The sequence below is a fragment of the Homo sapiens genome, chromosome 5, assembly GCF_000001405.40.
Source record: "Homo sapiens chromosome 5, GRCh38.p14 Primary Assembly".
NCBI lineage: Eukaryota > Metazoa > Chordata > Mammalia > Primates > Hominidae > Homo > Homo sapiens.
Genome location: NC_000005.10, coordinates 117,140,873 through 117,165,892, shown reverse-complemented (window position 1 = coordinate 117,165,892; position 25,020 = coordinate 117,140,873).

The window sequence follows — 25,020 nt, the reverse complement described above, 5'->3', positions numbered from 1 at the left end:
GCAGGAAGAAAAAGTACTCATAAATAAATACATTTTTTTCCAAATCTACATGTCTCAAGGCAACTAAAAACATCATATTCTGGGATATTCTAAATGTTCTTAATGAAGCAAGTATAATCAATTGCTTTTTGAATCAATATTTCAACAAAATGATGATAAGATGGAGTTGAATTCTCTTGCTTCTTTGCTTTGTCTAAATCTCTGAGAAAAACATTGTTTTTTCTCCCTTCATTCACGAATAAAATAATATCCCCCAGGGCAGGCACGGTGGCTCACGCCTGTAATCCCAGCACTTTGGGAGGCCAAGTCAAGAGACTGAGACCATCCTGGCCAACCTGGTGAAACCCTATCTCTCCTAAAAATACAAACATTAGCTGGGCATGGTGGCACTCTTCTGTGATCTCAGCTACACAGGAGGCTGGGGCAGGAGAATCACTTGAACCCGAGAGGCGGAGGTTGCGGTGAGCTGAGATCGCAGCACTGCACTACATCCTCACAACAGAGTGAGACTCCATCTCAAAAAAAGAAACAAACAAAAATCTCCCACCACCAAGAGTGACACAGAATTGAAAAAAAGACAAAAAACCCTGTATCTATGTAGTCACTTATGTGCAGCTGCTGAACTCTCCAAACAAACAGCTGGGCAATTATGACTATCACCCTTGTATTCTAGAACACAGTCTGAAAATCATTTGTATTTAAGTTAAAGCTTCAGTGCTTCTGCTGTGTGTTAATTCTCTCTTCCCTTCAGCATCCCTTTCCCCTTTTTCTCCCCACCTGACCCACTGCTTCCCTATTTCTCAATACAAAATTTTATCAAACCTGTTCAGCATATTTTTCCTGTAGGGGAAACAATGCTAAAGTTTATTGCCTGTACAGTTATTTTAGCAACTTAGAAATACCTATCAGCTCAGAATTTTCTATCACAAGTAAATTTGGAAGGCAGTTAATTCAAATCTTAATGTGTGTCTGAAAATATTGGTGATTCAATTCTCAGCCTGTATTTTCAAGCTTCTTCCATACATATTTCTTATAAATATTAAAGTAAGGGACATAGGATTTTGAATTCCACATCATTGCAGATAACCAGGGAAATTGCAAACTGCTTCAAGAATTATTTGGAAACTCTATATGATGATCTATGAATTTATTCATATGCATTTTATACTCCTCTCATTTGAAAGAAATTTTTAGTCTGTACCATTCTCTCCTTTGATCTTGAAGTTACATTCTTACAGATTAAAAGGGATAGACCCCTTCTTTCGTGTTCACCTTTCTTATCGTTATACTCCATCAAAATGAGAAAGCCATAAAAAACTCCATACTCTAGCCAAAGCATAGAAAGCTTTGTGTCTGGGGTTCATCAAATGTGGTGATTGACTCCTAGCACAGTGATAGTCTCACTCTCCTCCTGGCACTGGCCAGTCATGTCATTCATTTATCCCTGTTTCCAAATACTTTTCCATTTCTTCTCAGCAGCAAAAGGAGAGGAGAGGAGAGGGGAGAGGAGGGGAGAGGAGTGGAGGGGAAGGGAGGGGAGGGGAGGGGAGGGGAGGGAAAAAGGAAAGACACAGGCCATGCTTTTTTATAGAATGAATAAAGAGAAAGAATAAAGAAGTTACAGACATTTATCGGAATACCACATATCATTGAATCTTTATAACAACTATATGGCCTCCTTATTTCCATGTTACATATCCAGAGTTCAGGAAATTGATTGCCAGAGGGTCTGTACAATATACCAAAGGTCACATATTCGCAAAGTAGGAAACTGAAGGACCAGGCCTTAAGGTCAGATCTGACAGATTCCAAAGCCCAAACATTTTCAGTTTGTCTTCCTTGGGATGTTTTCATTTGCAAATGGAACAGTAGAGAATTCTCTCTTATTTGCCCAACTGTATAGGTCATGCCTTTGCATGTTTGGGTGACATTGCTACCCACCAGGGGAGCTGCAAACAGCATTAATTTGGGGTAACATTGATCAAAAAATGTCACAGAAGTTTGTGTGGCACTGTCTCCTCAACATTCTCCATCCCATTCCAAGAGTCTAAGGGAATTACAGTGGCAAGAACTACTAAGAGTCAGCCATTGGTGAGAGCTGAGGGGGAATGAAAGAGTTGAACTAGAGTCAAAATAAGTGCAGTGGTAAAATCCTGCAGACACAGTGCGAACTGTGCATGAGTACCCATTGAGAAAGCAAGTGCTTGAATTACTGCCACAGTGAGGGCATCAATAGTGGTCAACTGGCCTCAGCCAAAGAGCTTGGGAAGACAGTTTTGAAGCCAAGATAGGTAAAATGACATGTGTTCTTTGATCTAATCCTGTCTCCCCCCTCGCAGACTGGATTAATAGAAATGTAGACCATTCTCGATTACTTGAAAGCCCAAACTTGTGGAGGGTGAAGGTATGATTGAAGTTTTCAACTGAACTGCACTGACATTGTGATAGCTGAAAATGATCACAGAGTATTGAAAACTCCCACAAATGTTAAGGAGACAGAAAGAAAGATTAACTATCACAGTTGGAAATAGGCAATGGAGAAAAAATTAAACCTCATATTTGTATCCATGAAACTTCTGCTTCTACAGGAAATTATTATATTATTATTTGAATCCTCAGAACTAACCAGTGAAGTGGATATAATGTTTTTGCCACTTTTCAGGCCGGGTAGTTAACATCCAGAGAGGTAGAAGAATTTGCCAAATTAACAGTTAATAAGTGACAGAACCCTGGCCCTAGAATCTGCTGCAAACAATTATTCTATGCTGCTCTAAAAGAGGTTAACAACACACAACCCCAAACAGTTTTCCAGTTTGAATTGTGTTTAGATTTACTGTGCTCAATTATATACTCTTATACAATGATCAGAGAAGGTATCTACAAAGAAATTTTTATCTTCCTGGAAAATATGTGTGATGTAAAAAAGAAGAAATACATAATATCACACATATTATCACATAATGTGAATATAACATACCCTCACACAAATGAATTCACAGAACTATATCATCTTCTCAACATTTTTGACAGTGGCAGGTAGGGCAGGAGATACGAGTTATCAGTGACTTTTTCCGGCTTTTTTATACTATGTTTTATAATTTCCCTAAATTAATTTTGCATAATTCTATAATTGTAAAAATTAAGAGATCTGGGAAAAAGCCTATTCTGCTAGTCTGCCGTACATTTCTGTGCATATTGTATAAGAAGTGTCATAATGTATTTGTTTAGCTTATTTTGAGATTGGCCCAAGTACCTAAAACGTTTTAAAGCTTAGATGTTTATAAAACAAGTAATTTAATCCAGTAAGAAAGATTTTTAAAAGTGTCTGAGTATTTTTCAATTGTTTGAGATTTAAAACTTCCATTTCACCTCTTAAAACCTAATGCCACTTTCTGACATCGTCATGATGCCAACTTCTTATGTATGTTTATCTTAATCAGTTATTTCAATTATTCATATGATTTTCAGTAAATAATCTTACTCTATAGAGTTCTGTGAGAGTTAAAGGAGGTGTAAATTCTATCAGCAGCTTTTTCTAAAGTGACAAAACATGAAAGCCAAACTTACAAAATCCCCAATACTACAAGATAAAATTGTAGCCTTCAGTTGAGCGTGAAGTGAACACACATTTCACATTTCACACACTGAATTACACGAAATCCATTCACACACGTCACAACCACACAGTAAAATTACTGGGGCCTCTTGCAGCTGTCTGGAAGCCACTGAAAAGTGATTACAAGTCAGAAAGCAGTGAGAGGCACTGAAAGTCCTTTTGTTTTAATGCCACATTCCTTTCCAGGGTCCCTCAGATTCGTTCTCCGTTATGCAGTATGTTTGATAAAGATTCTCCTGCATGTAATACCCCTCTGAGGTAAGAAAAGGCATACGGTAAGAACCATTTGTACAATCGTCTTATTGCAAATTCCCCATGCAATTCTGCTGACAGGACAGAACATCTGGCAAAATCATTTTAATTAGACCAATCTATCCTGCAAAGCATGCTTCAGGAAGGCAGCAGACCTTGAGATCCATGGGTGTTCAGACAGCACTAGGAAGGGGAGTGCTCAAGCAAAGTATTCTGAGAATAGAGAGAATTGAAACACACCTGGCTTCAAACTCCTGGGCTCAAGTGATCCTCCTGCCTCAGCACCCTGAGTAGCTGGGACTACAGGCGTGGGCCTCTGTTCCCTACTTTCCCTGAGCATTTTTGAAGGATTTGACATCACAGTATTAATGGATAGAGAAGGTCCTAAAAATTATCAAATTATATACAAAGGAGGTAATAGTATTATTATATACTATTATATTATATACTCCCCTGTCCTGGATCCTGTATGAAACAGTAACTAGAGGTTAACTTTAAGCTTGTGCCAAGAAGTAGTTTTATTAAAACAGTAGTTGTCTGAAATATGCTTCTTCGGGGAATTTTCTCTCCATGACCCGTGCTCCATTTCCTTTGACCTCTATGCAGTCTTTTCTCCTTCCAGTTTTACGGTCTCATTAATGACACTATTTATTTATTTTTCCTTCTCCTAAGGAATTCCTAATTTAATTATATGACTTTCTGCATAACCTTTGTATTTAAAGATGGGAAGTATAAAGGCTAGCTACAGAAATTTGCTGTGCTATATTTAAATTAATCCAATATAATTTAGTCTTAGGGAACTCAGTTACTAACAGATAACACATCATATATTTTCTCTTCTCTCTAGTGTATAGCTTTTGTTAAATTTCAGGTTGGAAAAATGATTCAGGAAAACAAAATTCAGAGAATAATGCTTATTTAGAGGAGACATTAGACAGATTTGGGGAACAGAATATATTAAATAAGAGAAAAGAGTAAAGTAGCTCATAGTTTGTGAGTAGAGAAAATGAGGGCATTGTGAAACCCTTATTCTACAAAGTGTGAAAGCAAATGCTACCTCATCCTACATATGATTAAGGGTGAGAATTAATTGGATTAAAATTTTGTACAGTATACTGGAATTTCGAGGAAAAATGGGAAGCAGCTCACAGGATGAAAAGTTGATGGTAAAATTGTTACAACAGGACATGTTAAGTGTATATGACTATATTTTTCAGACACTAAAACTCTAGTATTGCAAACCAAATAATAAAAATTAATGTGTATGCATCTTACAGTCTTCAACAGTTCAATAGCCTGTCATAAGAAAGACAAAGAAAAGCTGGTTTGCCCACTATGATGACAACTTTTTCTAGATGATTGAAGAAACAAATACCCACTAAACATAAAACATTTCTGAGAACAGCTGGCTAACTTTATAGCTCTCTGTAACTCACATCTTTTAACACCAAGATTTAGTGTCTGAAGACTTATAAAAAACGATGAATAGGCAAAATATACAACAGAGAACACGGCCTAGTCTTGTAGCAGATCAGTCCATTCATCCATAAAGCACTTTATGATCCATGTAAACAATTTAGGCTCATCCAGGATCTTAGAGTTTAGCTAAATGCAACTAACTGAAATCTATGACTCTCCAGTACTCTGGCTCTGGAACTTTAAAGGTTCAGTATAAGGTCTGGGTAGTATTTTAACCTTAACATTAAATCTTAAATTATTACCTGTTGAACATTCTCCTCCTCTACCTATTTCCTAGTTTCTTGAAATTCTTTGTTTTCTAGCCATCTTTTCACCAAGGAAGTAAGCCAAATTAAAGGTTTTCATTTCTACTTGTCCCTGTAAAAGTAATTGCGAGATGGGGTTATATTAAATTTCTTGATGGATGACTTCTGAAATGTTTGTGTGCTCATTCCCCTCTGATTTCAGAACCAATTACTCCCCCCACACATTTTTTTCTTTTTTTCTGTAGGACAGACAACTTGACATAGATTCTGCATAAGGGGGACATTCTATATCCCATGATCTACTAGCCCAATGTTTATCTACATTCTATATCCCATGATCTACCACCCCAATGTTTATCTACACTTTTTAAGAATTTCAACATTTTAAGAATTTCAACATTGAAAGTCCCAGAGGAAAAAAAATGTTATTATCTAGCGTTAAAAACTCCATAACCAAGCAAGGCAGGAATATCAATGGCAAAAGATGGCTTAGCATTTAGTTTATGAAGGATTAGCTGATTTTGACATAAAGAGATATTTTTTAATGTTCACCTGAAAAATAAGATGCTGAGGAAAGAGTAAGGTGAGTGACGACAGAGTTACTGCCTGGACACTGGAAAGTATGGGAATAGAAATTCAAGTGCAAAATACCTCCAGACCACCCACCACCCACTCCATCCACCAAGAATAAAGCAGCCTCTGAGGAGGGCACAAAGCCCATGGACAGCCAGGAGCTAAGAAGAGAAGTCTGTTGCAATGACCCAGACTTGAACTTAGAGGAGATAAAAGGAGAGCTGTAATAACTACATTCAATCACTGCAACTCCAGAGAACATTAGTTAACAGAAAGCATCATCAACATCAGGTTTCCTGAAGAGTTTTTATAACCATGTCCCTATAAACATAGGATGATCTTCAGACTGAATGTTGGTCTCTGGCTGGTTAGCTGGTTAATGCCACATGGTTGTATAAACTGAACAAAGAGACAAAAATGGATGAAGGAAAAGATGGAAAGAGAGTCTAACTGTGAAAGGAAAGTATGAAAAAAGAGTGAGAATACAAGAAATAGGAGAGAAATAAGGACGAAAGATGGAATATGATACAGTCTGGGTAGAAAAAATTGAAAACTTTTTCATAAAATAAAGTAAGTGAAGAAAAAATATCTTTAGTTAGCTGTAAATATTAATATAATTGAGTCTCAAACATTTAATGAAAAAATATCTAAAAATGATCTCTCTTATTTTCACCTGTTCTCATTCCTATTTTATGCTCTCAGTCTGCAGTTCTACTGGTTGGGAAATTTCACAATTTTTATTTATATTGCTTTAATGTCTTAACAAGAAACACAGTAGAAAATCAAGCTTTTTTTTTTTTTTTACCCAAAAGTATGTTCAAGATGAAAGTACATGCATTTCCTAATGCAACAAGAACCCCATATACATTTGAAAGGAATTGCTTCAGAGCTTGTTGGTTTTCTTAGGCAAAAACAGAAGGAGGACATAGCATGGTGGTGTTATTTTCCATAAGCTTAGCAGGTTTTAACTGATGGTTTCAACTGTCTGCATCACCAGAAGTGGTGTGAGCAGCTCAGAGCTCAGGGGCTCAGTGGTGTGTCCTGTGACCTAAAAAATTAAGTGACTGACTGTCATCAACTGTCGACTTTCCAGACTTGAATGCTGTCAACGGAAGACATGGCTGAAACTCATACAACCGAACCTCCCTGAGCCGCTTGTTAAAGTCCAAATTCTTGGTGCCATTCAAGAATTAACGGCTCTGAATCTAGAGTGAAGGAAAATTTGACTTTCTAGCAAAGGTGATTCTAAATTCAGGCTTGTTTGAGAACCACTGCAAAAAGGAGCAATTATTAGACTACAAATCACATATGATTTTGGTTTTCCATTTTGAGTGACATATGACAAAAAAAGAAATATTATGTATGCCGTGGGACCTGTTGCAACAGACTTATAAAACTTACACTAAGAGATGTTTTAAAATTGTGTATCAGTCATTTGATCACCTTCAAGAAATTTATACAGAAGCCAAATAGTATCCTACGGGAAGAAGCAGACTTGAGAAAAAACCAACACTGACTGCTTATTGAGGGAACCAAGAACCAAGTGTTCACTCTAGCCACCTGTGAACAATTCGTGTTTGACATGTGACACAGAAAGTGGCTAGCACCTCTGTAGATTTATGGTGATAGAGATCATAATTCATTTCCTTAGTGTTTAGTCCAATCGAAGTTAAATTCTCAATTATTACTTTATGACCTTTGACATAGAAGCCAGTTGAATGCTATTAATAGAAAATGCTTCCTTTGGTGGTGTAATATGCAGACATAGGAGATGAAGGACTTAAGAAATAAGAGGTGCTTTTATTGTGGTGTCTCATATGGCATAAAAAAATAAAAAATAAAATCCTGGATAATCTAAGAATTGATTAAATGTTTTCTAAATTCTTCCAAAGCTACCAGCTACTCTGTAAAGCTTTTTAGATTGGCACCACAGGAGCTAACTGGCTTAACTCTTTTTAAAGTTCATCACTTGTAATTAATAGACTAAAAGACTGGGAACGTAAAGATTTTCAGGTCTGAAGTTTATAATCCCTTGGATTTTAAATGTGCTTGACCTCTATCGTCTCCTTCCCTATAAACACCACATTCACGCAGAAATGGAAGATAATTCGCCACTCATATTGACTAGCTCTGAATCCCAGTATATAGTTGAGATTTTTTATCCTTAGATATTTTCAGCCTCTTTGTCCCAGAGTTTGTTAATTCCTACGAAGCACTACCATCACCCTCTTCAACAAAATATTAATTCTTATCTGTTTTGCTGTGGTCTCTGAGGACAATAAAGATTGACTAAGGCCCTCTATTTTAATAGTCTCATAAAACATTTGCTACAGTTGACACTGTCATAGTGACTGAGAGTCTTAGGTACAAAGATTTCTCTACATTTTTACAATATAAATAATCTTATGATATACATTCACATTTCATTAGAAAATAAAATGTAAGGCTAAGTAGCAATTTTTAAAACACAGACAATCTAACATAAATATCAGGTAAAATGTAATACATTAATATTAATATATGTAAACTAATTTTAGGTTACCCTTTTAATAATAAATAAAATATAATATTAAAATAATAAATATAAGAAGGGCATGTGCTTATTGAGCGTGTGCTATGTGCCAAACACTACTTTACTTTATATCTATCGACTTATTTTATACTAAATTTGTAACAAAAACACTTGTTTAGACAGGCTAAGGAATTTGCCCAAAGTTATTATGCTGCTTGGTAGTGAAATTCAAATTTAGTTGTGCTTCACTATAAAACATATCTTCTTAATATTATACAAACACCTCGCTTCCTCAACTTTGAATGATTTTGGTAAACATATATTACTGTGTTAGAATGATGTTTACCAAGGATTAATGTTGGCTTGTATCCATCTGTGGGTAAAGGGAAAAGATCCTGTATTAGTGGTCAGAAGACCTACCTTGCTCATGTCATTTATTCTGTTTTATGACCTGAAAGTCACTTGAGGCCTCTCAGCTTTAGATTCCTCTTATAAGATGATGAGCGTGGTCAAGGGGTGGTATTATCTAGCCTCACTTGCCTTATCTATGACGCTGCTGTGAAGGTTGTCGAATGTCCATCCAAAGACATGTCCATCCAAAGACATGTCCATCCAAATGCAAAATAACTTGTTATAACCACCATTATTCCACATGGCAAAACAAGCTTAGTTGCTGACTTAATATTTCATAGAAGAAGAGACAGATCTAAGTGAACCATCCCTAGAAATCTGAATGTTCTCATGACATAGAATGATGTCTGATGCCAGAGAAACTAGCATGCAAGAAATTTATTTATTTATTTATTTATTTATTTTTTTTTTTTTTTTGAGACGGAGTCTGGCTCTGTCGCCCAGGCTGGAGTGCAGTGGCGCAATCTCAGCTCACTGCAAGTTCCGCCTCCCGGGTTCACGCCGTTCTCCTGCCTCAGCCTCCCGAGTAGCTGGGACTACAGGCGCCCACCACTACGCCCGGTTAATTTTTTATATTTTTAGTAGAGACGGGGTTTCACCATGTTACCCAGGATGGTCTCGATCTCCTGACCTCCTGATCCGCCCCGCCTCGGCCTCCCAAAGTGCTGGGATTACAGGCGTGAGCCACCGCGCCCGGCCGCAAGAAATTTTTACACTGAGAAGAAACCACCCGAAACATTTTTGAGATTTAAGACTTTTGGATTATTTAGTCCTAGAACACAAAGCATCAAAAAAATACAATTTTCATTTATTATTGGGAATAAAAATTAAACTGTTCTCATTCTGTTCGCAAAATTTTGCGTATATCGCGACAGATCCACTCAGCCAAGTTTGCATTCTGGTACCATGTAATTGAGGTGTCCTGTGTCTATTTTAAAATTGTGTTTTGATTATTGCTATATAAAATGTAGCCCTGGCTACCACGTTGACCATAAAGCACACTCTCTGCACACACACACATACACACCCTAATCTGACATCAAATGCATCCTTGAAATCTGGCAGGTTGGATTTGTTATCAAAAATGTCTTCAAGGGATGAGACTGGCATTTTTTATCAGAGCTATTAGGTTTAAGCTATTTACCAGCAAATATCCCCAAAAAAGCAACTTTTCAGATTTTATATAAAAGAAAATATCTACTTTGGCTTGTCTGTGACAAGTTACCAGTCAGTATGATTACATGCTCAGCAAGAACATAGCAAAAGAATCTCCAATATCATCCCTGCTATTGTCAGGAAACATCTTTACTTTGTCCTTGCTATTGTCAAGAGTCTCCAATATCAAAATTTTTAAAGTTCCCAGATCCTTTTACGTGCTACTGGTAGGAGTGTAAACTTTTAAACTCCTTTTGGAAAAAAAATTGACAGTATGTGTTAGGAGCTTTTAAAAAATATTAATTCCCTTTGACCTGTTGATAAAAGACCATGAGATCCACGGAGAAAAAAGAGCTTTATTTTCTATAAAAAACAATCCATTGATTGAGGAGGCACAACTTCCAATATAAGTGAAAGTGTGCTTTCCCGAGAACAAAGGCTTAAATAGGAAAAGCTCCCAATCAGGTCTGTTTATGTAAATAAAGGACTCAAATTTGTTTCATTCTGATTGGTCAAAATAGCCAAGCCCTGATTGGGTGGTTTCCAAGCCCCAAACCAGAAGAATCTGTCAGATGTTTATTTCAAATGGCACTGGGGTGAGATGTGGGGGTCTTCGCCACAGTTAATCTTGGCAGCTACAACAGGAACTGTTTTGGCTTGTTGTAGGAAGGGAGATCCTGTGATACGTTTACAATATCTTTCCAAGAACACAGTGTGTGACCGGTCCCTCACTTAGCCATGGCCTCCTGATTCTGTTTTAACTTTGAGCACCTCATTTAGCCATGGGGAGTTCATTTTGTCTGTTGGCCAGGGACATATCTTAACAGACCAAGTAATGACCCTTCTCAAAAATTAGCTTACGAAAATAATCTACAGTATAAGAAAAATGATAAAAAAGAAAGGAAAGGGAGAAAAGGAGGAAAAGACAGAGAAAGAAGGTTATATTGGTCATAGTCAAAGGGTTTAGGTGGTTTGGGGGTTGTTTTGCATTATTTACAATATAAGAACTGAAAAAAACCTAATCACAGGAGGAGATAACTATGTAATCTACGGCACAGAAACTCAGAAGACTTACTAGGCAATCACTAAAATATCTTTATAAAAAATTTATTATAATATGAAGAAATATTTTCTGTAATATTAAATTTCAAAAACTAGATGCCAAATTAAATCAAATAGGAAGAATCTATCCATAAAATAGGAGTTAGAAAAGCATAGTTTTCATTACTTTTATGGGTTAGCTGGAGTGATTTTTTTTCTAGTTCTCTTGATTTTTCAAATAATCCATAATAATGATGAATTGCTTGATTAACAATTGTGTATGCAGATTAACACTTAATTTTTTTTATAAATGATAGAAATTTTTCAATTTCTAAATGTAGGCTACCTACTTATATCACCTTTAAAGGTTTAAGAAAAAAATAGATTTTTTTCCTAATTTTAATTCTGAAATGTACATGTTGTCTAAAACAGTGAAGTTTATTTCTTCTAATAATAATAATAATAATAATATGTCTTCAGTAGAGAATAAATGAAAATACAGAAAAGTAGAAGAAAGAAGAAAAAAAAATCAATGGTACCCACAGTGAGAGATAGCTATTTTTGATATATTAACGTATCCTTCTGTTTTTTTTTCTGTGCACTTTTCCTTTTACTTGTTTTACATAGTTATAGTATAGATGGAATTTTATATTTTGTGTTTTTCTCTATGAAATTATTTTTAAAGTTACCTAAAATCAGTAACACAATAGACACGTAACCTAAAATTAACATAATTCCTGGAGCTGAAATAGACAAAAATACCAAGAAAAGAACTTAAGTATGCTGAATCCAATGAAAGTTGCTCCCTGAAGAATATGAAATTACTAATAAGTGGAGGATAATCTTATAGAACAAGTTTCTGACACACAGTCGAGTATTTCATGTCTTAACAAAGTCAACAAATTCACAAGAAAACAAATAATGACACCATAAGAAGACTGGAATATGTTTTTACTGTCTAAGGAATCCTCAGTGGACAGTTCTGGGCCTGGTATTTTTCTTATATCCACTTTAACCCACGTTTGTGGTGTGGATACGAAAGCATGTTGTAAGAAGTAAACCCAAAAAAAAAAAAAAAAAAAAAGGAGAAGAGGAGGAAGAGGAAGAGAGGAGGCGAAAGAAGAAAAAGAAGAAGGGAAGGAAGAGAGGGAAGGGGAAAAGAAGAAAAGGAAGCAAATAAGTTGGTTTTCTAAATGGTGCAACAGAACAAACTTAATTTTCTGTAACAACGCTTGCTGAGTGAGTTTCAAATTCTGCTAGACACAATAATCACCTGGAAAACTCGTTAAGATACAGATCCCTGAGCCTTGTCACCAACAATGAATGCTCAGTTGTCGTGAGGTAAGCCCAAAAATCATTTTTTACAAGCACTTGGGTTGGTATCCAAGGCAGTCCATTGGTACTCTGAAATTAATTAAACAAATTGAAGTCAATCCCTTCACACCCAACTAAATTAGAGTCCAGAGACCAAGGTTGGGGGGGGGGGTGGAAACACACACACACACACACACACACACACACACACACTCAGATCACAAATGCCCACTTCAAGAATGATTTTGAGACTAATTTTACTAGTACCTGCTGCTGCTCGCCAACCCTGGCATAATGTCTCAAATGCCAATGAGATTTCTTTCAAAACAACTCATCTAACTTTTCTCTTTCCCTGTAAAACATTTACCTTCTCCTTTGTTCTTCAGACATACCAAAAGCCACCACAGTCTGTGCATATGTCCCAAATTGCAATTCTAATTTTTGTATATTTCCAAATGAAACTTTTGCTTGGAGATTTGCCTTTATATTTTTATTTGATATTGACATTATGAAGACTGGTTTTTGAAAAATACTCACTTAAGATTGAAGAATAATTTCTTTTCAAATAAAATGTATCTTCTAAGGATATAAAGCATGTTTAAGAGGGGGATAACCAGTCTAATCAAAGTATCTAAAATGAAAATTGAGGAAGAAGAAAAATATCTAAATGAAATTTTTAGCTAAGGTAGCATAAACAATGGCAGACATTAACCAGGAGAAGGAGGAGGAAGAAGAGAAGGAAAAGAAGGAGAAAGGGTTGATAAGTCTAGAAATTATAATAAGAATGCAAGATAGAGAACCAGAATAATTGTTACAGCTTCACATACATACATGCTTGCTTCTCAGAGAGTATGGGTAATAAGCTCAGGACACTTAAACTTTTAACATGTTAATAATAACATATACATACCACTCAGATATGTTTTGAGAGGCTTGGGGCACATAATTAGAATATGGCCCCAACATCTCACACAGTATATAAACAATAAATACTTGGTAGAAAAAGTGGAACACTGGTATTGTGCGTCATCTATCTGTCTGTCGATCTATCTGGCTATTAGTCAGTATCTCTGAGAGATAAAAATATGGATGAATGAAGCCAGAGACAAAGAAAAAGGCAGGGACAGTGGAAGGAAAAGAAAGAGAGAGATGGAGAGATAGAGCCAGAAAGAGAGAGAGAGAGCCTCCATGCACAAAAATAATTAATCATCAACAGTAATATAGTCAGGAAAATATAAATGACCCAATGTGACTCAAGAGATGTTAGAAAAACTTCAGTATAGCAACATATATAGGCAAAACTGAAAGGTTCATCTAAAATTGTATTCTTAATATGTTAATCACAGCTACCTCTGATGGCATTAATTGATTTGAGAGTAAGAGGTGATTGTAATAAAGTGATTTTCATACTTTAATTTGTATGATTTACAATGGTAATATATTTATTTCATTGGTTCTGTAGCAACAAAAAATCAAGTAATAATAAGATAGTACAGGTAAGAGCATGTAAATCACTCTTGATCTCTCAGCCCAATATAAATGAACCCAATAAACATTTTGTTGCCTTTCCCTGTTTTAAGTATATCATTTGATGTAATTTTCATTCATTAGATTTCACCACATTATTTATACATTTTAATAAATTTTTTAATGCCTGCATACCATTATATCATATATGTATGCTCAATAATTAACATATCTCTTATTCATTTTGAGATTTTATAAATTATTAACTTTCTTTTCCAACAATTTGCTCTTTTACAAGGTTGAGGAAATCACCAGTGTAAATTGTACTGTGGACTTAATTCTAGCTAAAATGAAAAAATAATGCAAAGGAAATGAAAAAATGACCATAATATCTTAGAATTTAAAACAGTGATGAGACAGTACTAGATGCAATATGACTTGTGTTAAGGTTTTATAAGAATTAACATTAAAATCAAAAAGTTATTAATATAAGCCCATTTCCACAGATCCTGAAAGGAAGCATGACTTAGTAGAGACAGAAAGTTGAACAAAATAAAAATAAAATAATGTCAATTTAATCACAAATATCCACCAAAAAAGCAATTTGATAATAGAGCAAATATTCTAAAAAATGTTTTTGTTTTTGTTTTGTTTGGCTTGGTTTGGTTCCGTGTGATGGATGGTTATGGATGGTATAGGAAGAAATGAATCTACCCTAGAATAAATAAATACAAGAGTAGCACAAATCTTAAGACTAGTGTCAAGAAAGTCAAAGACAAATAGAAAAAAAAGTCTCTTACACTAAAGTGAGGGATAATTAACAGAAATTTTCTTATCTACATGTTAAGAGGCTGCACATAAAAAGAAAGGTTTGGCCCATTGCTTGGGGCAGATGGTTAAATACTAACAAAAAGCAGAATTATTTTTTTCCAGACAGGCTGTCAAGGGAATAATTGTTGCAACGGAAAGCGTAGAACAGACATGGTTAAAAGGAAATTGGATCCCAAGATACGGAAAATGATAAGGGGTAAACACCCAATCTTTTAATGAGGTTGAGTCTCTAGACCCATACAAATTACTTCTTAGGATATGGAGAAAACTTTGAAAATGTGATTGCTATTCTATTTCTGGTTATCTCTGGGGAATCAAGTGAAAGAGTCAAGTGACACTTGGGCAAGTGTTACATAGTTCAAAGGAAAGATTTCTGGTATACAAACTGGCTTAATATAGAATCCTTACAAAGTTCTAGAATTATTCTTGAGCATTTAGAAAAACACGTGGTTAGGGGATTCTATATGTATACTAAAAATAAAAAAATGAGGTTGGAAAAAATAAGGTTACTATACTGGAATAAAAAAACAATGTTCTAGATACAGCAGAATATATTTTAAAATGGGGATCTGATAATATCTCCAACAATATTCTTGCTTACAGGGTGAGGGAATATGGCTAAGATGAAAGAAGAATTGGTCATATCTTCAACCTTACTCAAGAAGCCCATATATAGCAAAGCCTCTAATTATGTGCCCCATGATTCTATTATTAATCATATCTTCATCAACATTTATATTAAATGGCATAAAAAGAACCTTGGAAAGCAAGTTTATCAACTTCATAGTTGACAAAAATCCTGGTAGAATACCTAATTAATTTACTTATCAAAGACTAATTCAAAAAGATCAACAGGCTGGAATAATGGGACTATATTTTTCAAACGAAATCTAATATGCATAGAATCTTATACTGGGTTAATAAAACCTAATTAATACATGAAAGACAAAGTTAGAGAAACTTCATTTAAGAGCAGTTAGGGAATAAATAATCAGAGGAATTAGTTGACCATTCATTCACCATCTAAACAAGTCAAAGTATTAGGAGGCCAATTTTAGTGACAGCACGATCTGTACTCTCTAGTCCAGTTTTACCAGCAATTAAGTTGATATTTTTATTCCTGGTTTATACCTGTATCAATGTCTTGATTGAATCAGAAATCATCAGGGGTGGGAGGGAAGGCTGGGCAGGGGAGGGTAGGCATTTTGATGAAACCCAAATAAGAGGTTTATATACATAATTACAATTTTCCTCTTATGATTCTCATTTTACAGATGAGTAACGTGAGGATTAGAGAGTTCACATACCTAATGGAGTCAACCCATAAGTAAAAGGAGAATTTGAACCTGAATCCGATGGACTCTAACACCCCATAACTGTACGTCTACTCCAACCCTCCTGGATGAGAGAGGTAAGGGCCTTCTCATACCTGGTAGAACTTGTTTCAAGAGAAACACTGGCTAAGAAAAGGCTGGCCACAGAAAGCAGGGAGGGGTGGGGCAAGGGCAATTGGCATTTGAAAACTATGAATAGGAGTAATGGCAAAAGAAAGTGAAAAAGCTGACTCTGAAAGAAGGAGGCACAGAAAGGACAAGGAAACTGATATTCATTATTTCAAGTGATGGAAGAGAGATTAAATGTATTCAGTGTATAAACGGAAAGCTGACTTCAGTGTCGAACAAGAGACAAGTCTCTTCTCTCATGAAGATTCCACTCTGGAAAGGGAAGAAAGTAAACAAGCAAACAAATAATGAATAAGTTAATTTGTGATATTGATAAATGCTATAAAACGATGATGTGATTGATAAAGTATAATCAAAGGTGGGAGAATATTTTAGATAGTTTTTCAAGAAAGGCTTCTCTGAGATGACAGTTGACAACTAAGTTGAGTACTTAATGACAAAACACAGCCACTAAATCTATGAAAAAAGAATTTCAGTCAGAGCAATACCAAGGACAAAGGCCCTTAGGTTTGAGTGAGCTTGTTGTATAGAATGAAATTTATGATGGATAAAGAATTAAGAGCTTTAACTGAGAGGATAAGGGCATGTCTACTCTAACATTATTGATTTTAAAATAAGTCACTTCCTATTTTTTAAAAAATAGATGCAGCAGAATTCACTGTTACAGATGTAAAATGTTCAACATCAACTGTCAATGGAAGAGTAATGCATTTTGTGTCAAGTTTTTTAATTATTATTTTAATTGACAAAAATTGTATATATTTATGGAGTATAATATGATATCTTTAAATATGTATATATTGTGGAATAGCTATTTAATAAATCACATGAATTAATATATGCATTACCTCACATACTTACCTTGTTTTTCGTGGTAAGAACACTCAAAATCTACTCTCTTACCAGTTTTCAAGAATACAATGCATTGTTATTAACTATCGTCCCCATAATATCCAGTGGATCTCTTCAACTTATTACTCCTGACTAACTAAAATTTTTATCCTTTGACCAATATCTCCAAAAACCCCCCTCCTTCCACTCAGATCTCAATCTTTTGGTAGCAACCATTCTACTCTCTGCCTCTAGGAGTTGAACTTTTTAGATTCCAAATTTAAGTAAGATCATGTGGCATTTTTCTTTCTGGTATAGCAAGTTTTTAAGGTCTACTGAGAAATAGTTTGTCACTTATAAACCAAAAGAGAGTATTAGCCTCACCCTTCCGATGATTTTCCTTAAGTAAGAGAAAATCCAATATGCATGTATTGATTATGATGATAAACATTTTGTCCAAAATTTATTTTCAAAACAGATGGAAACAGTGTTTGATTACTGTTCCCAGCCTAGGCTCATTCACTGGGGGAACACAATACAGATAATCGGGAACCCTCAGTTCTTGTTCTCACTCGTCACAAGGTGTGATGTTAATCAGGTTGCAATGTCTCAGAGCCCCAAGTTTCTTTGTTTGTAAAAAAAAAAAAGAAGATTATAACATCTATCTAACGAACCTGACATAAGTGAAGAACATAATGTAGACAATGATACAAAGATGATCTGAAAATGTTTTGTTATTAGACCAGACAGATATCTTAATACAAACTTTAGCATATGCTTTATTGAATGAAAAATAAATCTTTGCAATTTTCTACAATTTGTAGAGGCTTTGAAGCCCCAAGCATTCTTCTAACAAAGAAGAAACAGAGCCTAAAGCAAGTTGGAACATAAGTGAAATACTGAAAAGAAAGGAGTAGTGAATGACAGTTGTCTAGAGGAATAAGAGAGAGAAGTGGAGCTGAGGGACAATACAGTGGCAAAGAAACTGTAATTTAGAACTTTGTAAAATGTGAGCAAGGACTGCACCACAGCAATAGATCTCTTAACAACTTTTCAATGTTTACTAAAAGGCAAAAATGATCCAGATACAGTACACTTTGGGTATAACTCTGCCAAAGTTTCCTTTTTGTCTGTAGAGACAGAAAATTTATGAATTTCTATAGTTTACCACATGTTTATTCCTTACCAAAATGATAACATATAATACTGCAGATAAGACACTGGGACCCTTTTTGTCTCACTAAGAAAAAAAAAAAAAAAAGCCTGGGCAAAACGGCGAGACAACATTGCTACAAAAAATTAGCTAGACATGGTGGCATGCACTTGTGGTCCCAGCTACTTGGGAGGCTGAAGCAGGGGAATCGCTTGAGCCCAGGAGTTTGAGGCTGCTGTGAGCTATGATGGTGTTGCTGCACTCTACCTTGGGCAACAAGAAAGACCCTGTCTTAAAAATGAAAAATTGAAAGAGGTTTATTTCAGAAAGAACAGAATGGCTATGTAGTTTATGAAGATATTTTATCATCTTCCAGGCTCTACATGTACAGAAAAGTAAAAATTATAAGTTGAGAAATGCCAGGAGACAGACAAATGCATAAACAAATAAAAGATCCATACTTTAGAGGGTAACAGAGACTTAAGAAAGTTAAAGGCAAACAAGACTTGCAAATGCAATGAGTTCCCAAAGGCTGGTTAGTGAAGACTTATGACCTACTTTAGGTAGCTCATGTTTATCTTATACTAAAGTCTTCACACACTACATGCCCCCTAAACATGTATCTTAAAGTTTAGGTGGGAAATTAGTGCAGAAAATACTTCTCTACCCCAAATTTTCTATCCCCCCCTCACCCTCATTACCCCTGCCCATATGAAATTGCCTTAAATTCTGTCATTTATGTGTCTTTCCTTGGCTCAAACTTTATATACTTTTAAAAATATATAAATAGGACAAAGAGCATCTTCTGGATGTTCTGCCCTGTGAAATTTTTGTGAAATGAATGAAAACAAGATAGAGGGCAGTTTTGGGAGGGGGTTGGAGGAAAGTTCAGGTACTCACGGGAGACTAGTGTCGAGAGTATATGCAGCCAGTACCAGGGCTCCACAAAAAATGAGTCTGAGTAAAGCTGCATTTAGCATTCTTTATGAGCTTTATGAGGTTCTTGGACATGACAGTGAGGCAGCAAAAAGAAAGGATACTGTAAGGAGGTTTAGATATGTCAAAGCATAACTTCTTCAATGTCATAATCATTCTCCAGGCAGGATCACAATAGCCTCATACCATAAAGAAATAAATAATTACAAAATTGGTATAAAATTCTCATCATCCAATGTTGACAACAGATATAAAAAAATTGAATTTGAATAAAGAGAAAATTAAACAATGGGTGATAAATCATGTATCTTTAAAGGTAAGAAAAACTTATTCTATATGCTACCTCATTAATTTATAAGTTATGATTTAGGAGCCAGAGGAGAGAGTATCAGTGCAGTTTTTTTTTCTTCTGTTCTAAGCTAATTTTTGAAAATTATTACAGTTGACCCTTGAACGACGCAGGAGTTAGAGCCGCCAACCCCGTACACACCCAAAAATCTGGGTATAACTTTTGATTCCACCAAACGAAACCACTAATAGTCTACTGTTGACCAGAAGCCTTACCAATAACATAAACAGTCAATTAACACATATTTTGTATGTTATATGTATTATGTATACTGTATTACTACTATAACCTAGAGAAAAGAAAATGTTATTAAGGAAATCACGAGAAAGAGTAAATATATTTACTATTCATTAGTTGAAACTGAAGCATCATAAAGGTCTTCATCCTTATTGTCTTCACATTGAGTAGGCTGATGAGGAGGAAGAAGAAGAGCTGGTCTTGCTGACTAAGGTGTGACAGAGGTAGGAGAGGTGGAGGAGGTGAAGGAAGAGGCAGAAAAGGTGGGCACACTCAGAGTAACTTTCATTGAAACATAATTGTATATAAGTGAACCTACACAGTTCATATCCATATTGTTTGAGGGTCAGCTGTACTTTTAAAATAAAAGGAGAGGAGAAAAAGTAAGAGTAAACAAAATGTCAAGTTGGGGGTGGGTGGGTAGAGACGGGGAGGCCCTGGGAAGAGAGAAACTAAATGTAAGGTTAGAAGCAGTGGCCTCAGTGGGGAGAGGAGACGTGTGCAGAAACCAGTGGAGAGAGCTGTTTCACAGATTAAATGCAGGCGCCAAGGATGACAGTGATTCTAGCAACTTCCATGGTAACATTCCAAACTTCTCCCTGAATATCTGTGCTTTTCCCTACTCCTACCTTCATTTACTGGCTTTCAGGCCTTTTTTTCTATGCAACAGAATGTGGGTTCATAATAGTGAAGGGATGAGAAAGGATTAACATAGACCAAATATTGACAAATTAAACAGCAAAATAATTAACCTTGAAAATCTAAGTAGGGTGAAGGTGAGGTTTGGGAGGGCAGCCTGGGATTCCCAGTAGGGCTCTTGAAGCCTGTGAGCATTATTGTTTTATAAAAGAGATTCAAGCATGAGTGGGAAGATTAGACTCCCAACTCTACAGTTCTATGAAGAGTTTGATAAGCACGTTTTTAAGTGAATTTCCAGCTTTCTCAGACTAATTTCTTAAAACTAATTACCTCATTCTTAATTTAAATATGCAAATTCATTTTCTGTAAATCTTAAAATGTACATGTGTATAAAAATGTCTTTTCATCCCCAGATATAGCTATGGGAAACAAGTTGCTGAATTTTTTATATAATCCTGATCATATTTTAGAAGCTGAAAGTTGTATTAAATAATGATGTTTCTATTACTTTACACATTATCAGCATGACATTTCATGTTTCTAGTCTCGTTTTCCCAGCCCACTATAACAAACAAGACTTTTTAAAAAAAATAAACAGTGGTATCTTCCTTTATCAACTTATAAAAAAAATACTCTTTACTCAATTCAAATAGGGAAACAAGCTTCTAATGGCATCCATTTGCACTATTGCTAATGACAACTACCAAACTTTTAAGGACATATAGGATTACTGTATATTTAAACAAACTTAATATGCTCCAGAGAATTTCTAAAGTATTTCTGTGTTTGGCGATCTCTGCTACTTCCACACCATATATTTATATTCTCTTTTTATTTTTTATTTATTTTTTCTTTCTCAAGTTGTTTTCCCCTAGCACTTTTATATTAGGACGTCTCTGTTAGCTATAAACTTTTAGAAGTTTATTTTTAACCCTTGCATTTGTACTCTATTGCATTTATAGAACAGAAATCTGTCCCATATAACAAACCCCTTCTTTTAATTTCCAAGCTGGCATTTCAGACTGTGACCAGTTGGACAGAAACTTCATTCAGTCATTGACAGTTCATTCTGGCCAGATGAGTGCAGCTGGGGGATTAGAATTTTTCAGCCATTGAGTATTTTTTATTGGAGAAAGATTTGTGGTGCTCAAAAACAGTCTAATTTATTCCATATATTCTTACAAGGTCATAAACAATCTTAAAATTACCTAATCAGTATATTGTTCTTACTACATAGGAAAAAAATTCATAGGAAGAAACAAAGAATTTTTTTTAACTTGGGAAATAATATTCACAGTGATTTATGTATGCTGTATTTTTTGGAGACACACAACTTTTACTCTGAGATAACTGTTTTATGACAAGTCCAATATGCTTTATCTAGCTAGAATTCACATAACTTCAATAATTATTTATACTGAAACTAATCAATGAAAACACACAGTATATGCAGTAGAAAGTAATAATGTTTCCACTCTCAATATCCTTGTGAGAAATAATTAGATAGTCACTGATAATCCAGTAATTCTGATTGCAGCTTCCCCTGAGTGCTACGAAATCTTAGAAAATAATCCAACTTGGGATATGTGGAGTGGGAGGGCAGGGGACCATCTCCTGAAGTATCTTTTGAACTGAGCACTAAAGAGGGAATAGGCTTTATTAAGGTGAAGAAAATGAGGAAAGAATATTCCAGAAAGAAAGAATAGCTGGAACAAAACACAGAGTTTGGAAACAGCATAATGTTTACAGGGAACAATCAGTTAGTCAGAATTTCTGGAATTTAGAGTTGTGAGTAGAAATTCCAGGCAGGCAATGGAATGAAGGCATGAGCAATGGTCTAGTAGCAAAGGGCCAAGAATGTCATGCTAAGGAATTGAAATCTTACTCTGTAGCTTAAGGGAAATCATAGTACATACAGACATGCATTTTGAATAGATTATACCAATGAGAAAGGCAAATCTTAATGAAGTAAAATTGATGCCAAAGATACTGGTGTGTAGGATATTGTAAAGAGCAGGTGTAAGATGACGGAGATCTAAGTAAGGTAGGGGTAGTGAGCATGAACACAAGAGGAGAGCCAAGTGAAGGGACCCTTTCTTCTGCCCTCTGAAGTTTCGATGATTGAGTCTGCTGAAATAAATTCACAATAGACAGATTAACGGGAGAAAAGGCATAAAAACTTAGTGTCTGCACGGGGACATCACTGTAAGTACCCAATAACCCAATGAGATTCAAAAGCTAATAGAGCCTTCTTCCCAGGGGAGAGGGAAGTGGAGGGCTGCAGGCACTTTTAGAAGAAGAGCAAATGATTTTTAGGGGAGATGAATGGGCAGGAGTAACAGACGATGGCCTCAGAAAAAGATCCTCTGGGCTCTTTTGATGGTGTCAACTCTAGTCTTCTTTCTTAGAATTAATCTTCCTTATTTGATGAGATTATGGGAGGCGGAGGGAGCTTAAGATAACTGCATTCCTTCTGGAGAAATTTCCCTTAGTCAGATGAGGGAACGTTAGAGAAAGCCTCTCCCTGTGCTTTGGGAAAGACAGAGAATGAGAGATAGGAGGATGGGAGAAGGTCAGAGACACCTTGGCACTAAGGCTACTTCTTTAGTTCAAAGTGCTCAGCATGTCAAGGCACCACACTTTGCAGTATCGTTTTTTTCTGAGCCCCAACAAGAACATAGTTAATACATATTTAGAAGACCAAAATAGATAAATAAATTAAAAGTCCACATAATTGTATAGACTGATTTTATAGCAAAGCAGAGAGGTTTGGGGTTTTTATATTCTCCTTAGTTGATAACACTGCCATTGCTATCAACTAAGAAAAATATGATGAAGAAGAAGGAAAAGGAGAGGAAGAAGAGGAAGAGGAAGAAGAAGGAGGGGGAGGGGAGGGGGAGGAGGAGGAGGAGAAGGAGAGGAAGAGTAAGAGAAAGAAGAAAAGAAGAAGGAGGAGGAGGAGAAGAGGAAGTTGTTGAAGAAGTTTCCCTTTGAAACTCCCACTTTAAGGAGAGAGTGGGCAAATTGTTACTGGAGCAGCTACCTCCTGTAAAGTAAGATCTGGAACATTTTCCTTTGCAATTTAGTGATTTGGAGGTCACTGGGTATCTTTGCGGTTGGGTTTGAGGCACTTTCATTGTAGTACAATGGATAAATAGAAGTAGAGAAAAACAAACAATAGAAACTCATTTTTAAAATACATATAATATATAAAATACATATTCTCTAGCCAGAGAATATATAATCAGAGAATTCTACTCCCATCCTATCCTTTCCTTGAAGGGACACACTTTTTTTTTTTTTTTTTTTTTGAATGGGAGGAATGGGGAAAGTTCACAGGATCAGGGGAAAGAGTCTGTAGAGGAAAACACTGATGAGAGAGAGAAACCAGGGAATATTTAAGAACCAATGGGAAGAAAGGCAATCAATTCAAGAGCTAATGTCGAGGAATTTGCCTTCCACAGGAGAAAACTGCAGGAAAGGAAGGACTGATGTGTGGCTGCATTTATTGGAATAACCTATTTGAATTTAGTTTGCAACTGTTGCTGTGCAAATTCAGATGAATCACAGCCACAAATCTTTATTTTACTGTTTCCCTGCTCTCAAGTGCTTAAGCATAGACAGGTGAAACAGCAAGGTAAAACTGTGCTAACAGGGTAGCATTGCACAAGTAAGGTAAAATTACTAACTTAAATACAGCATTAAGATAAAGCAGTCTTGTAATAAATATTAGGTACCTACTATATTCCAAGCATAGTGATAAGCATTTTACAAGCATTAAGTGACTGTCTTCATTTATTATTCACAATAATCAATTTAATTTAGCCCTATTATTATTTCCATACCACAGATGAGGCAACTGAGTCAGAGAAAATGACTTGCCCAATGTCCCCCAGCCAGCGAAAGCTTTATAACATCTCTATCATACCACCATCTAAGGCTCACCAATCCCTTCACTCTCAACATGCATCCTCTCCTTGTAGATAACAGGTGTGAACTCTTTAAAAAAGTGTTGACTTTCCCTCCTTAGGATGTACCTATATATGCACTTACCATCGTCTCCTTTGATCCAAAGTTGGCCTCCCATCTACTTACTGACCCAATAACATGAGGAATAATGGAAGCCAACTTGGTCTAGTGGTCATAGCAGCTTCCAATGACTTACGAAGTACTGTTGGGGCTCAGAAACTGATACCTCAAAATATGGCTCTTTGACATGCTGAACTAAGGAAGCAGTCTCATGATTTCCCTGACCCTCCCCGAAACCCTTCTCTCTCTCAGCCCTCCCAAAGCGCAGAATGAGGCCATTCTCTGAAGTTCCCTTACCTACCTAGAAATCAGAACCCCAGAGAAGAACACAAGTGTCTTCCTCCCTTTCCTGAAATTTCATTAACCAGAGAAGATTAAAACTTTATATCACAGAAGAAGAAACAAAAAATAAAACAAACAAACAAACAACAACAAAGAACACCTAGAACCCAGGAGAAATTTGTCCCAAACTATTGTCGGTCCTCAG